The 13,176-nt window shown below is 49.6% G+C and overlaps 1 long non-coding RNA gene and 1 pseudogene across 3 annotated transcripts in view, besides 1 other annotated feature; one reads left to right on the top strand and one right to left on the bottom strand.

Moving 5' to 3' along the window:
* ENTPD4-DT (ENTPD4 divergent transcript) overlaps nt 1-13,176 on the bottom strand; it is a 37,125-nt gene that overhangs the window by 6,965 nt on the left and 16,984 nt on the right. For all 3 annotated transcript variants that reach the window (NR_186531.1, NR_186532.1, NR_186533.1), the window contains one exon: nt 4,691-8,727. This is a non-coding gene — a long non-coding RNA (ENTPD4 divergent transcript). The remainder of the gene's footprint in view (nt 1-4,690; nt 8,728-13,176) is intronic.
* LOC646708 (DnaJ heat shock protein family (Hsp40) member C5 pseudogene) lies at nt 4,215-6,944 on the top strand (annotated as a pseudogene).
* Nucleotides 5,363-6,331: an enhancer, noted in NCBI's record as "H3K4me1 hESC enhancer chr8:23339113-23340081 (GRCh37/hg19 assembly coordinates)". NCBI's record gives its function as "activates a minimal SCP1, AML or CMV promoter by ChIP-STARR-seq in naive H9 embryonic stem cells {active_cell/tissue: H9 hESC(naive)}" and the evidence as "EXISTENCE:reporter gene assay evidence [ECO:0000049][PMID:30033119]".

Genomic DNA, 13,176 nt, shown 5'->3' with positions numbered 1-13,176 from the left:
CTTGGGCAGAGGCCATGGCTTGGCCTTCTTTCATGTCCCCTCAAGTGCCCAGGCCCATGGTGGGATTCCTTGGTCACTTGCTGATTGGGAGGGCTGACTGATGGAATGAAGAACTGGTGGATTTGAGTTGGGAAGATGCCAGAGTGATCCAGACCTTGAAGCAGGCCCACATGGGCAGGTGTGGGTGGGGGCTCTGGCCAGCCACTTACCAGCTGGGTGGCCTTGGACAAGTTTCTCAATTTCTCCAGGGCTCAATTTCCCCAGCTATAAAATGGGCATGACATACCCAATCCACGTGGTTTGACAATGTAATAAGATACTGCATGCCTGACGTGCCTCATCAGTATTAAATTATTTTTGTTGTAGTTATTTTTGTAATGGGGGGGTAGGCTTACTGGGCACCAAGATGGGGCAGGAAAAGAAACAATGAAAACATAATGGAAAGACATGGTAAAGCACAGGGACACCACGCTGGCCACCAACCCTGAGACTGGAGAGCACCGTGGGACTGCTATAGGTCCTGGTGGTTCTGAAGGAGAAGGTGAGGCAGACAGAGGAGGAAGAAAGCAATGTGGAAAGCCTTAAGCTCCTTAACCTGTAATTAGTCTGTGAACTCCACCCTGGCACCAAGGTGAAATGGGCGGGGCCACTATTCCCTTTTCCTCCCACACCCTCCTGCCACGCTGATTATCCCTTCAGGCAACTACAAGGCAATAGTGTTTGCCTTGACCTGGCTTTGCTGCATACCTCTAGATGTGACTTCCAGACCACAGACCCCTCCCAGCAATTGATGCTACCCTGGAAGCTGGCTCCTCCAGGATGCCCAGATCATAACTCGCTACCAGCTCACCAAGATTCAGCTGGGCCAAGGAGATAAGAAGGCCCATGCGAGCCACTGGTGTGGGGCAGGTCGCTCTGCTGGGTGGACTGGGTGGGCCACCAAGCTGAAGAGATGTTGACAAGCTATGGGGGCAGAATTCTCCTCTCACCCCTGGAAAAAAAATAATGGCAAAGGGATAAAATGGTTGCAAGGTACTTTTAAGAAATCTCCTCCCAGGGGTCAACAACCAAGGTGCTAATGCCTAGGTGAGCTCAGAAAACAGCTTCTGGCCGCGTGGCCCTGGCTGACAGGTGAGGTTTGGCAGGCGTTTCTTCCAACTCCTGAAGCAGGCCCCCTTCCAGGTGTTAATCCTGTGCCTTCTACCTGCACTCAGTGAAGCTCTGCTTATCCCTGATAATAAGCAGTGAGATAATGATCACAATGGAGGCATCTGACATTTTAATGGAGGCAGAATAAGAAGGAAACCAGTAGGAATGAGGAAATTGGCTTTGGGATCCACAAGGCTTGGTTTTGGGTTCCAGGGACCACTTTTCCCTGGACTTCGCACATGAGACTCTGCAGTAAGGGGGCAGATAATACAATTCATTTCAATAATTTAACACCAAAATGCTCTTCTCTAAGAAATGTGCAGGGCGGCTGGGCCCAGGGGCTCACGCCTGTAATCCCAGCACTTTGGGAGGCTGACGCAGGTGGATCACCTGAGGTCAGGAGTTCAAGACCATCCTGGCCAACATGGTAAAGCCCCGTCTCTATTAAAAAAAAAAAAATACAAAAATTAGCCAGGGGTAGTGGCGGATGCTTGTAATCCCAGCTACTCGGGAGGCTGAGGCAGGAGAATTGCTTGAACACAGGTGGTGAAGGTTGCAGTGAGCAGAGATCGCGCCAGTGCACTCCAGCCTGGGCAACAGAGCAAGACTCCGTCGAAAGAAAGCAAATAAAGAAAGAAAGGAAAGAAAGAAAGGAAAGGAAGGGAGGGAAGGGAGGGAAGGGAAGAAAGGGAAGGAAGGGAAAGAAGGGAGAAAGGGAGAAAGAGAGTCAGGGAGGGAGGGAAGGAGGGAGGAAGGAAGGAAGGTGGGTCCAGGGCATGTTCTAGGCCTTACTTCTTCCATTCTCAGACCTCTCCTGGGAGTTTCAGGGAATTCACTTTGGCCAGTTGACTTTGATTGAGTACATCCTATGTCCCTAGCAGTGCGCCTGGTGTTAGGGACACGACCCGGAATACAATCCATTCCCCACCCTTAAGAAGCTTTTAATCTAGTGGGAGAGAAAATAATCATACCTATTTTACAGATGAAGAAACTGAAACTTTAAGATTCTGATATCATTAAAATATTCATGTTTTTTCTTTCATTCATTTATTTAGAAAATTTTTATTGAGTCCACGTGATGTGCCAGGCACTCCTTGAGGTGCTGCAGGCTGACACAGGGAAAAGTCGGGCACCTTCTGCCCACATGAGACACCTATACAGACAACAACAAATATGTATTTTGTGCACAGAAGCTTTATGACTTTTGTCCAAGTCACTTCAATTTCATCCTTTAAATGTCATTCAGTGGATAATGGGAAGCTATAATTGGAGTGTGTATATGAAATACAGAGGTGTACACACACACACACACACACACACACACACACACACACACGCTACTGAAACTGCTGCCCCAGATCTCAGGGAGGTACAGGAAGAAGGGTACCTGGAGAATGATGGCTGGAGAATGATATAAGAAAGTCACGTCCAAGCCGGGCGCAGTGGCTCATGCTGGTAATCCCAGCACTTTGAGAGGCCGAGGCAGGCAGATCACTTGAGGTCAGGGGTTTGAGACCAGCCTGGCCAACATGGCGAAACCCCATCTCTACTAAAAATAAAAGATTAGGCCCAGCGCGGTGACTCACGCCTATAATCCTAGAACTTTGGGAGGCCGAGGCGGGCTAATCAGGAGGTTAAGAGATCGAGACCATCCTGGCCAACGGTGAAACCCCGTCTCTACTAAAAATACAAAACTTAGCTGGGTGTGGTGGTGCGCGCCTGTAGTCCTAGCTGCTCGGGAGGCTGAGGCAGGAGAATCACTTGAGCCCAGGAGACAGAGGTTGCAGTGAGCCAAGATGGCACCACTGCACTCCAGCCTGGCAACAGAGCAAGACTCCATTTCAAAAAAAAACAAAAACAGGCCAGGCGCAGTGGCTCACGCCTATAATCCCAACACTTTGGAAGGCCGAGGCTGGGGGATCATCTGAGGTCAGGAGTTCGAGACCAGCCTGACCAACATGGAGAAACCCCATCTCTACTAAAAATACAAAATTAGCTGGGCATGGTGGCGCATGCCTGTAATTCCAGCTACTCAGGAAGGCTGAGGCAGGAGAATTGCTTGAACCCGGGAGGTGGAGGTTGTGGTGAGCCAAGATCGCACCACTGTAATCTAGCCTGGGCAACAAGAGCAAATCTCAGTCTCAAAAAAACAAAAAACAAAAAACAAAAACAAGCAAACAAAAATTAGCCAGGCATGGTGGCGCATGCCAGTAATCCCAGCTACTCAGGAGGCTGAGGCAGGAGAATTGCTTGAACCCAGGAGGCAGAAGTTGCAATAAGCCGAGATCGCGATCGCACCACTGCATTCCAGCCTGGGGAAAAAAAAAAAAAAGTCATGTCCACCTTAAATAATGGGCTGGTTCCTGCAGGAGGAGAAGACAGCATTACAGGCTAGAGTTCAAGTGGAGGGTTAAGACATCAAGACAGGGTTAAGAGCAAGGACTTGGAGCTAGTCAGTTAGATCTGCCAGTAACTGTCAATGTGATCTGGAGGAAATCAATTTATCTCTAAATCTCAGCTTTCTCCTCCGTAAAATGAGGAGAACTGTGCATGTCTCATAAGGTGTGTACATACTGAACGTTGTGAAGATTCTCAGAAATGCTCTGTGTAACATGATTGGCCTGTCATAAGAACTCAGGAAGCTATTATCACCCATCACCATCATCATTACCAAAAAAACTGCTGACAGAAGCATTCACAGGAAGGGAATAGGAGAAGGTGGTAATGAACCTGACAGGGGACTTTTGTGGCTGGAGCAGGCTGGGGAAGAAAGTGCTGAGAGAAGGCCACTCCCTATCTTCCTGAAGATCTCCAGCAACCCTAGGAGAGACCCACATCCTGAGCTGAGCTTTCAAGGGCCCAGGCTGCATCTGGCTGGAGGGAGTTTGTTTTATGTGACAACTCGGAACGAGGGAGCCTCTACTCTGGGGGTAGGGCCTTGAGGCCCTTGAATAAGGACAGCAGTTTATCAGTCCTGTCTCCACCCAACCCCAGGAAGAGAGAAACTCAACTCATCAATCTCCCTTCCATAGAGTAGGTATTTTTTTATTTTAAAATAATTGCGGCGTCTCCGCTGCCGCTGCCGCTGTGAGCGCTGCACCGGCGCCCTCTGCCATTGCCGCTGCGGCCGCCACCCAGGGTCTCCAGGCTGAGGACTGCGTTGGCCACTGCCCAGCAGCGTCGCAGAGCGGGGAGCAGGAGCCATGGAGCCGGCGGGAGGGCGGGCGGATGGGCAGATTAGCCTAACAGGGCAGACCAGAGACAGCGTTCACTGTCTACCTCTGGGGAATCATTGTGCCACAGTCTTGGGCTGGACAAGAACGCAACCTCAGATGACATTAAAAAGTCCTATCGGAAACTTGCGTTGAAATATCACTTCGACAAGAACCCTGACAACCTGGAGGCCGCAGACAAGTTTAAGGAGATCAACAAGGCCCAAGCCATCCTGACGGACACCACATAAAGGAACATCTATGACAACTACGGCTCGCTGGGGCTCTACCTGGCCGAACAGTTTGGGGAAGAGAACGTGAACACCTACCTCGTGCTGTCCAGCCGGGGGGGCCAAGGCCCTGTTTGTCTTCTGCAGCCTCCTCACCTGCTGCTACTGCTGCTGCTGTCTGTGGTGCTGCTTCAACCGCTGCTGTGCTGCGGGAAGTGTAAGCTCAAGGCCCCTGAGGGCGAGGAGACAGAGTTCTACGTGTCCCCCAAGGCTGCAGTCTGACGAGAGGGAGGCCGCAGACACACCGATCATCATACAGCCGATGATGGGGCTAGGGGCCAAGTCCTCCTGGCGTCACTGGCATCGCTGTCATTCCTTGGTGTCTGTGCTAGGCACAGTTGGCTTGGGGTCTGTGGTTTCCTGGGCCTTGTGGCAGGGTTTCTCCCGTGGGGGAATTTGGTGTGGAAAGCATAGGAGGCCCCTTCCGAGGTTGACACCGTGTCCTCCGCACAGTGTTTCTATCCTGGGTCTCCTTGTCACGTGGACTCTGCGGCTCCAGTCCTTGGAGGTGTGTCCTTCGCCCACATTGGGGTCGTTTGTCTGTCTTCCTGCACTTTTCCCGGCTGTGAACTGGATTGATGGGGCCAGTCTCCTCCTCCCCTGTCCTGGGGTCATTCTCCACATTCCTTCCAGCCCACCTGTCCTTTCCGTAGCCCTCTTTGGACCTTTACAACCACAGATGGTAGCACCAGCCTGATGAGCCACAGTCAGGAGAGTAGATCGTCCATGTGTAAGCATCTAGCCGCTGGGGACGGGGGCTCTTCCAAGACCCTCCTCCCGTGTTTGCCAGAGCTCCCATCTGCTCCAGTTGCCTTTGCCCTGTCATCGATGATTCAGGCAGAGCCAGATTCGTTATGTCCCTGGAGGAAGGACTGACTGGACCAGAGTGACCCCTCTGGCTCAGAAGGGTTGGGTCCCTGGGAGGCCAGCAGCCAGACCACGGAATCCACGTGTGGACCATTGGAAGTCAGTCTTTTGTCTGTCCTAGACCTTGTTGGTGGCGCCCTGGGTAGAGGAGTGGGGGAAACGGGTCTGATGTCCCTGTGCTGGCCGAGGGCTCAGAGCTGCCCCCACTCTGTGGCTCACGGGATATGCTGGGCCTGCCTTTGGCCCCATGCTGCAGACTCAGTGGGCCTGGCTTCTGCAGAACATCCATGGTGGCCGCTGCAGAGTTCTCAGCAGAGATGAAGCTGAGGAAGAGGCTGTGTGTGGTGGCTCTGGCTGGGACCAACCAGATGAGTCTCCTGAGGCCCTTTTTCCCGGCCTGCCTGCTGACTCATGGCCCCAGCTCACTCATGGCCCTCAGCGGCCCACCCAAGGCTGTGCAGAGGGGTGGGTTGAGGTTGACCAGGAAGTTGCCAGAAGGGACATGGGTGAGGACAAATCTGGACGTGCTTAGGAGCGGGGTGCTGGTTGAGGGCCCCCAGCTGACCCCTATTGCGGATCCCCATGTGGGTGATGAGCTGGCTGCCAGCACCAAGTCCTGGGGCAGTTTTGTTTGTCTCACTTTTCTTTGGTTTTTCTCCCTAAAATGATCATGAAGACCTTTGATGAGAGGAGAGCTATGCACTGTGATATTAAATTAGAAATAATTTGTCAAAATCAGACCTCTCCTAAAAGAATAAGAAATTCATTGTTTGGCCCATCCTGAAATGCGAGGCAGCGAGACGTTGGGGTGCCTCCGTGCCGTTCAACACAGCAGCAAGTTCAGCCTCAAATGCTGGCTGTACTCAGCCTTTGCAATTTTTGCAGATGTAGCTTAGGAAGTGAGTTATTTTTCCCCAGACTGGCCAAGAGCCAGGTTCTAAGCTTGGACCTAAAGTAGAAAGCCACCTGTCAGGGGGCCTGGCTCAGCCCCACCAGGCCCTCTGTTGTGCCTGCACACAGCTCTGTGGCTAGAACACTCCAAGGCCCTTTGGTACCCATCAAAGTGGGCCCCTTGCCAGGTGGCTTTTCAGTTACAGAGTCCAATGGACCATTTTTTAGAACCATGCAGCTCCCCGCAAAGGGTGGGGTAGGGTGGGAAAGAGGAGCAGGTCTGGAGGTTTGTGGAACCCAGTTCCTACAGAATTTGTAAAACCTAAATAAATCATGGCCATGAAAATTCTCACAGTGGTGATTGTGATTATAAGACACCTAGGAAGCCCAGACACTCGGGGCCTGGAGTTCCTCCCACTGCCTGACCTGGAAGCAAAACTGTTTCCGGTGTTCTGCCCTTTAGGTTTTAAGGCCTTGTCTTAATTCAGGAAAAAGAACTTCCCAGGTTTTCTCTTTTTCTTGAGTGGACTGTTTCCCTATTAATTAAAAGAGGTGGTGAGTCCCCGGGGGCAGCTTACGCGCCTCCTTGTCCACATGCTAACAGATCAGAATGCCCCCAGCACCCCTGCCTGCTGGTGGCAGTGACAGGACCCTGACTCCTCACTCTTGGGCTGCGGATGATGCTTGTGAGCCACTGTGGCCATGGGCACAGAACGTCCCATTGGACGCTGCTGCTGGGTGCTGCCAGGGGCCTGCTGGGGTCGTCGTGTTTTTGAGGCATGTTCGGTTCACAAGGGGGTCCAGGCAGCACTGATTGCTTCTGACCTGCAGGAGGCATGGGAGCGGCCCCGCCGGCCCTTTCAAGGCAGCTGCTGGTATGTAGATTTGTCTCCGCTCAGTGATGAGGGATTTTTTGGTCTTCCTTTTGGCTTTATTTTTAAACTGCTTTAGATACTACTGCTCAGTGTTTGTGAACTTTCCTAGTTCTCTGATGTTCAGTTGATGCAGCCAGCACCCAGTGGGGACCTATTAGGAAAAGAAACTGGCATGTGCATGTGCCCAGCAGGAAGCTTCATCTCCACGTCAGCTGCTGCCATCCAGGGAAGGCCCTGGAGCCTCACGCAGTCGAGGCTGCTCTCAGGTGCTACGTGTTGCCAGTGGTGGCACCCGTTGTCCTGCCGAGCCCAGGGCGTTCTGTTCCGGGCGAGCCTTGTGCTGCAGGGGCATCAGCATGCAGGCTGCCCCGGGAGGGTCCAGGTGCTGCAGGCAGAGTTCAACGTGGGGCTTGTCCGCCCTCCCTTAGCTCTGGCTCAGTGCATCCTACTGTGGGGACATCTCATGAGGGGACACGAAGTCACTGATCTCACTCCCAGTATTTGGAGCTGGGAACCCAAATAGTGTGGCGCAGGACTGATCTGTGCCTGTTATTTTGGTTGTGAGTCATTGTCCTGTGGAATTGGCAAAAGCTACATTTTTACTGTCCTTACCAGCAACGGTTCGTGTTGTCACATGCTGTGAGTGCAGGCTGTGGTGTGTCCTTGTGTGTACATGTATGTATATGTATACATCATGCACAAAGCATGTCATGCTGCTGTCCAGCGGTGAAGCAACAAGTACAATAAAATGTGGCTCTAAAACGGCTTCTGATTTCTTGACAAGTCGGGCAGGGACCTTCAGGAGCTTTCCTAGCAGGTGCACAGAAGGAACCACTGAGCCCACAGTGTGCAGAGTGTGTGTGCCCAGGGCACTGCCATGGCCCCCACCGGCACTGGCCTCTGGTCTGCAGAGTCAGGTGCCCATCCTGGGGGCTCTGTCATGCTCACCTGACCCAGGTGTGTGTCCCGGTGTGAAATCTAGGAGGTGACTGGAAACCCTTTCCTCACTTGAAACATTAAAGACGATTTTCTAAGCAACAGATACAAACAGTGGCAAAGCTGCATCTGAAGAGGAGCCCAGGAAGGGGCCCTGTCCTGGCCCCAGAGGAGTCCACACAGCACCACCCTCCAGAAGTGGCTGGGCCCGGGGTCTTGCAGGCGGCACCTTTTGGTAGATTTTGTTTCCCTAGAAAATGGGGAAAATATTTCAAGCCAGGTGAGGGGAGGAAGTTAACACTGAAATATGTATTGTTTTTAAAAATTAAATGCAAATGCATGGAAGCTGGTTGTCCTTTCTCTGGGTTTGGCACTGGCGTCCTGGAATCCAACCGTGTTGGGGTGCAGGCGCTATCAGACTCTGGATGATCCTGGCTCGAGCACACACATCTAAGGGCCAGGCTGGGTTCGCATGGTGATCTCCGTCTTGTATGTCTGAATGTTGACCTGAAATAAAGATTACTGCTGTAAAATAAATGTTTTCACTGCAGAAAAATAATAATAATAATTGCACGTTTTTCCTGTTTACATAAATAACGACTATTTATTAGGTTGGTGCAAGCGTAGAAAAGCCAAGTCATATTTTATAATTACCTGAACTCTCAGCACCCAAAATAATTACCTTTATTGCAGATTATTTCAATGTATTATTTTTGTTTGTTTCAAATGCCATAGACATCATCAGAATATAATTTTATTGTTTCTCACTTAACATTCCTTCATAAACTTTCTTTGTTATTATAGACTTCATATACACAATTTTAAAAGTCCACCTTTGATTTTAATTAGATGGCGTATCCTTCTCTGAGCATTCCTGCATTATTAGGCTTTTTTCAATTTTACACTATTACACAGAATGTTACATTAACATCTGTGTATTATAGCATACTCTATAATTTGAATTACTGTCTGATAGTAAATCTCCAAAATGAAATTTATATAGTTAAAGGACATAAACATGTATAAGGCATAGAATTTAGAATATATAGATCAGGTATCTCAAAATGTTTTCCAGGTCTTTTTTCTTACAGTATATGTCACACATATTCATTGTAAAAATGTTAAAACACAGAGACAAGTACATGGAATGGAAAAAATGATTAACAACCCTGCCACCTCCAAATAATCACCTTGATATTTTCATATATTCCCTTCCTCCCACATTGTTCTGGGACCACTTTGTATATAAAAAAATTGTATTTTTCTCTTATTTTAACTTATTTCTCCACATCATTAAGAATCCTTCTAGAACATGATTTTTTAGCTACCACCAAATGGCCCATTACATGTGTACATCCAAATTTATCCTTTATTGGTGGTTATTCAGGTTTTCCCAGAATTTTTCAGTATTATAAATGACACTACAGCAGATGCTAAAAGGTCACCACATTTATGATGAAGTCCTTAGTGGAAGTCACAGAATTATAGATCTTGAGCACTCATACACCTTGAGAGATTCACTTACCCAGGACCCTGCAACTAATCTCAAAGTGTATCTATATACTCATTTTACAGCAGTAGTATCCTGCACTTAGGAGAATGGGAGTGGAGGCCAGGCACGGCGGCTCACACCTGTAATCCCAGCACTTTGCGAGGCCTAGGCAGGTGAATCACCAGAGGTCAGGAGTTCAAGACCAGCCTGGCCAACATGGCGAAACCCGGTCTCTACTAAAAATACAAAAATTAGCCAGGCGTGGTAGCACACGCCTGTGATCCCAGCTACTCAGGAAGCTAAGGTGGAGAATCGCTTGAACCTGGGAGGTGAAGGTTGCAGTGAGCCGAGATTGCGCCACCACACTCCAGCCTGGGTGACAGAGTTAGACTCTGTCTCAACAACAACAAAAAAAAGCAGAATGGGAGTGGCTTGTGCAAGTTCACAGATCTGGGACGTATCAAAGAAAACAACTGGAAAGCTAATGTGTTGGGTCCAAGGCTCTTTCCCAGGTGATTCAATGAGATCTTGTTATTCTGAAACATTTCTGGGTCTTGAGTATTGTGAATACTAGGAAAGCATGCCATGATGGTATGGTAAGGAGAACCTAGAGAAAGATTGATCCTTTATTCGGTATCAGCCTGAGGGAAGGGAAGGTCTCTCCTGGTGTGTCACAGGTCTCTAGCTTTGACTCTATTCTGTCCAGCACTGGGATGACAATGGATAAAGCAGGCAAGCCTTAGACTTGGAGTCTGGCTAAGTTCAACGACAAATCTATTGGAAGAATGAAGAGTAGTTCACATGGTGAAGGAAAAAGCTGAAGGAGCAGAGTTCTCGGTAGCAGGAACACATGGACAGCAGTCATAGATTGCAGCTGTTAGGATGAAAGAGTTCCATTGCTCTGCATCCTGATTCCAAGGAGAGAGTAACTGATTGGCCAGACTGAGTCAAAGAAGAATAGCCCCCAGACTGTGTTCAGTTGGGTCTGGAGACTTCCTCCAGCAACATCGTGCGTTATTACTTACAGAAGAAGGAAAGGGTCTACACAGACAAAATTGGATGACTACTATGCAGTTATTAATTAAAGTGTAATCAGTCAGTAGGGTTGTGTATTTTCTCCAGCAATACTCAGTCTATCTGGGGCAAGCTCAAAGAAAAGCAAATCACTGAGATTGAATGAGGTGAGTACTGTGGAATAAGGAGCTTATTCTAGCAATTAGAACTTACACAATTGTAGGAGGAGCCAGGGAAGTAAGAATCCAAATATGGAACTGAAGGATCAGAGAAAAGCCACCAAACAGGCCTGCACTGGAGAACGGCTTGGAACTGCAGGCTATGTGGAAGCTAGCCACATTCAGTTGCTGAAAGCGGACTGCAAAAGGGGCTGGTGTCAAAGTTCATAGAAGAGTGCTGCTGCTCTGCAAGTTCACATCAAAGTACCTGGAGATGGGCCTGAGGTCACTGTTGGTCAGTAGAGCAGCAGTTAGGAAGAGAGTCCCAGCGAGGGAAAGAGGGAGTGCACCCTGGAATCTCTGGTGCTCCTGTGTCTACCCCTAACCAATGACAGACACCAGCCTGGGTGTCTACCTCTAATCAATGGCAACCTTCAGAATAATGGCTGCTGTTTCACCTTGACTCCAAAATCTTGCACGTTTTCACTGTTGGCCAAATCTAACTCTGACCTTTTCAGAGGAAGGGATCTGAGAAACAGCTCCCAGTGTAAAGAAGTCACAATAGAAAAAATATGGTATGGTGAGTATAATGGAAGAAAAGACAGACAAAGGGATTTAGGGTGTTTTCAGGGATGTGAAATTATGACGAGGGATCACAGAATCTAGAATACAGGGACCCCATACATTGGCAGTCTCAAGGTCAAAGACACTGTGGGTGGTAGAGTCAGTGAGCTGTAAGCGTAAAAGATGATGGTCAGAGTGGCATGCTTGAACTTGAGATTTTGGATATTGTGACATGGAAACCTGTGATAATGAGGTGTAAGGCAGCTAAAGTGATGGAGACCAGGGCATTGGAAGAATCATCCATGTGGATGTTGAAATAGCTGGGTACAGTGGCTAGGATTGGGCAGACAGAGTCAATGAGCCTTGAGTTGAGGTCTTCAGTAAGCACTGGGGCAGTGGCCAGTAGACTGTTAGGCACAGTAGGGAGGACGGGTGGCGGCAGCTTGGCCCTCAGGTACATGAAGGTGAGGGGGAAAACTCCACCCTTCTGAGAGGGCTGCAGGGGAACCAGTGTCCTGAAGGAAGGAGCCAGATTTCAGGTAACAAAAGCAGGTAGCAGGAAAGAGAGACTACACGGCCGGGTACGTGGCTCACGCCTGTCATCCCAGCACTTTGAGAGGCTGAGGTGGGAGGATCACTTAGGGCCAAGAGTTCGAGACCAACTTAAGCAACATGGTGAAACCCTTGTCTCTACAAAATATTTAAAAATTAGCCAGGCATGGTGGGTGCACACTTGTAGTCTCAGCTCCTCAGGAGGCTAAAACAAAAGGATTGCTTGAGCCCAGGAGGTCGAGACTGCAGTGAGCTATGATCGCACTGCCCCCTGGGCAATAGGGTGAGACCTTGTCTCTTTAAAGAAAAAAAGAATACCAGAGAATGTGCTGATCACTCCGTAAGTGCTCCAAGAGAGGACAATACAATATACAACCCTCTACCCCAGAGGAGGCGTAGGAGAATGAGTCAGGTTAGGGATTATAAAAATGTGCAACCCTCCACCCCAGAGGAGGCGTGGGAGATCGAGTCAGATTAGGGATTATAAAAATGTGCAACCCTCCACCCCAGAGGAGGCGTGGGAGATCAAGTCAGGTTAGGGATTATATTAGGACTCTCCATTTTCAAATGTCAGAAATCCAACTCAAGCTAGATTTAGCAAAAGAGAAGAGAATGTGTTTGTCCATATAACTGGAAGTGTAGTGGGGCTGCTTGCTGGCTTCAGTGCTGATCAGCTCAGGGACCCAAGCCATGTCCTCCAGGGGCTCTCCTTTGGTCTCCCTGCCTTGCTGTCCTCTGTGTTGGCCACACTCCCAGGCAGCCTCTCCCCATGCAGCAGCAGATGGTGGCCCAACAACCCTGGGGAGTGTGGACCTCCCTTATGGCACCAGGGAAATTTCAGCCTGAGCCATCCATGGTGGTTAGTGAGGCTGCATCTCTAGTGGCCACTCTGGGTGGGCAGAACCCACCAGAATCACATGTTGGCAAGCGGGGAAGTGGCCCTTCAAAGGAAAACTGCTTTGCTGACATCAAGAGGAGGGCAGGCCAGGCATGGTGGCTCACACCTGTAATCCCAACACTTTGGGAGGCCAAGGCAGAGGATCGCTTGAGCCCAGGAGTTGAAGTCCAGCCTGGGCAACATAGGGAGACGCCGTCTCTACCAAAAAAATTAAATATTAGCCAGGCGTGGTGGCACGTGCCTATGGCAGGAGGCTCTCTTGAGCCCAGGAGATCGAG

Source organism: Homo sapiens, chromosome 8, assembly GCF_000001405.40.
Source record: "Homo sapiens chromosome 8, GRCh38.p14 Primary Assembly".
Taxonomy (NCBI): Eukaryota; Metazoa; Chordata; class Mammalia; order Primates; family Hominidae; genus Homo; species Homo sapiens.
This window is presented reverse-complemented; position numbering and strand designations above follow the sequence as displayed.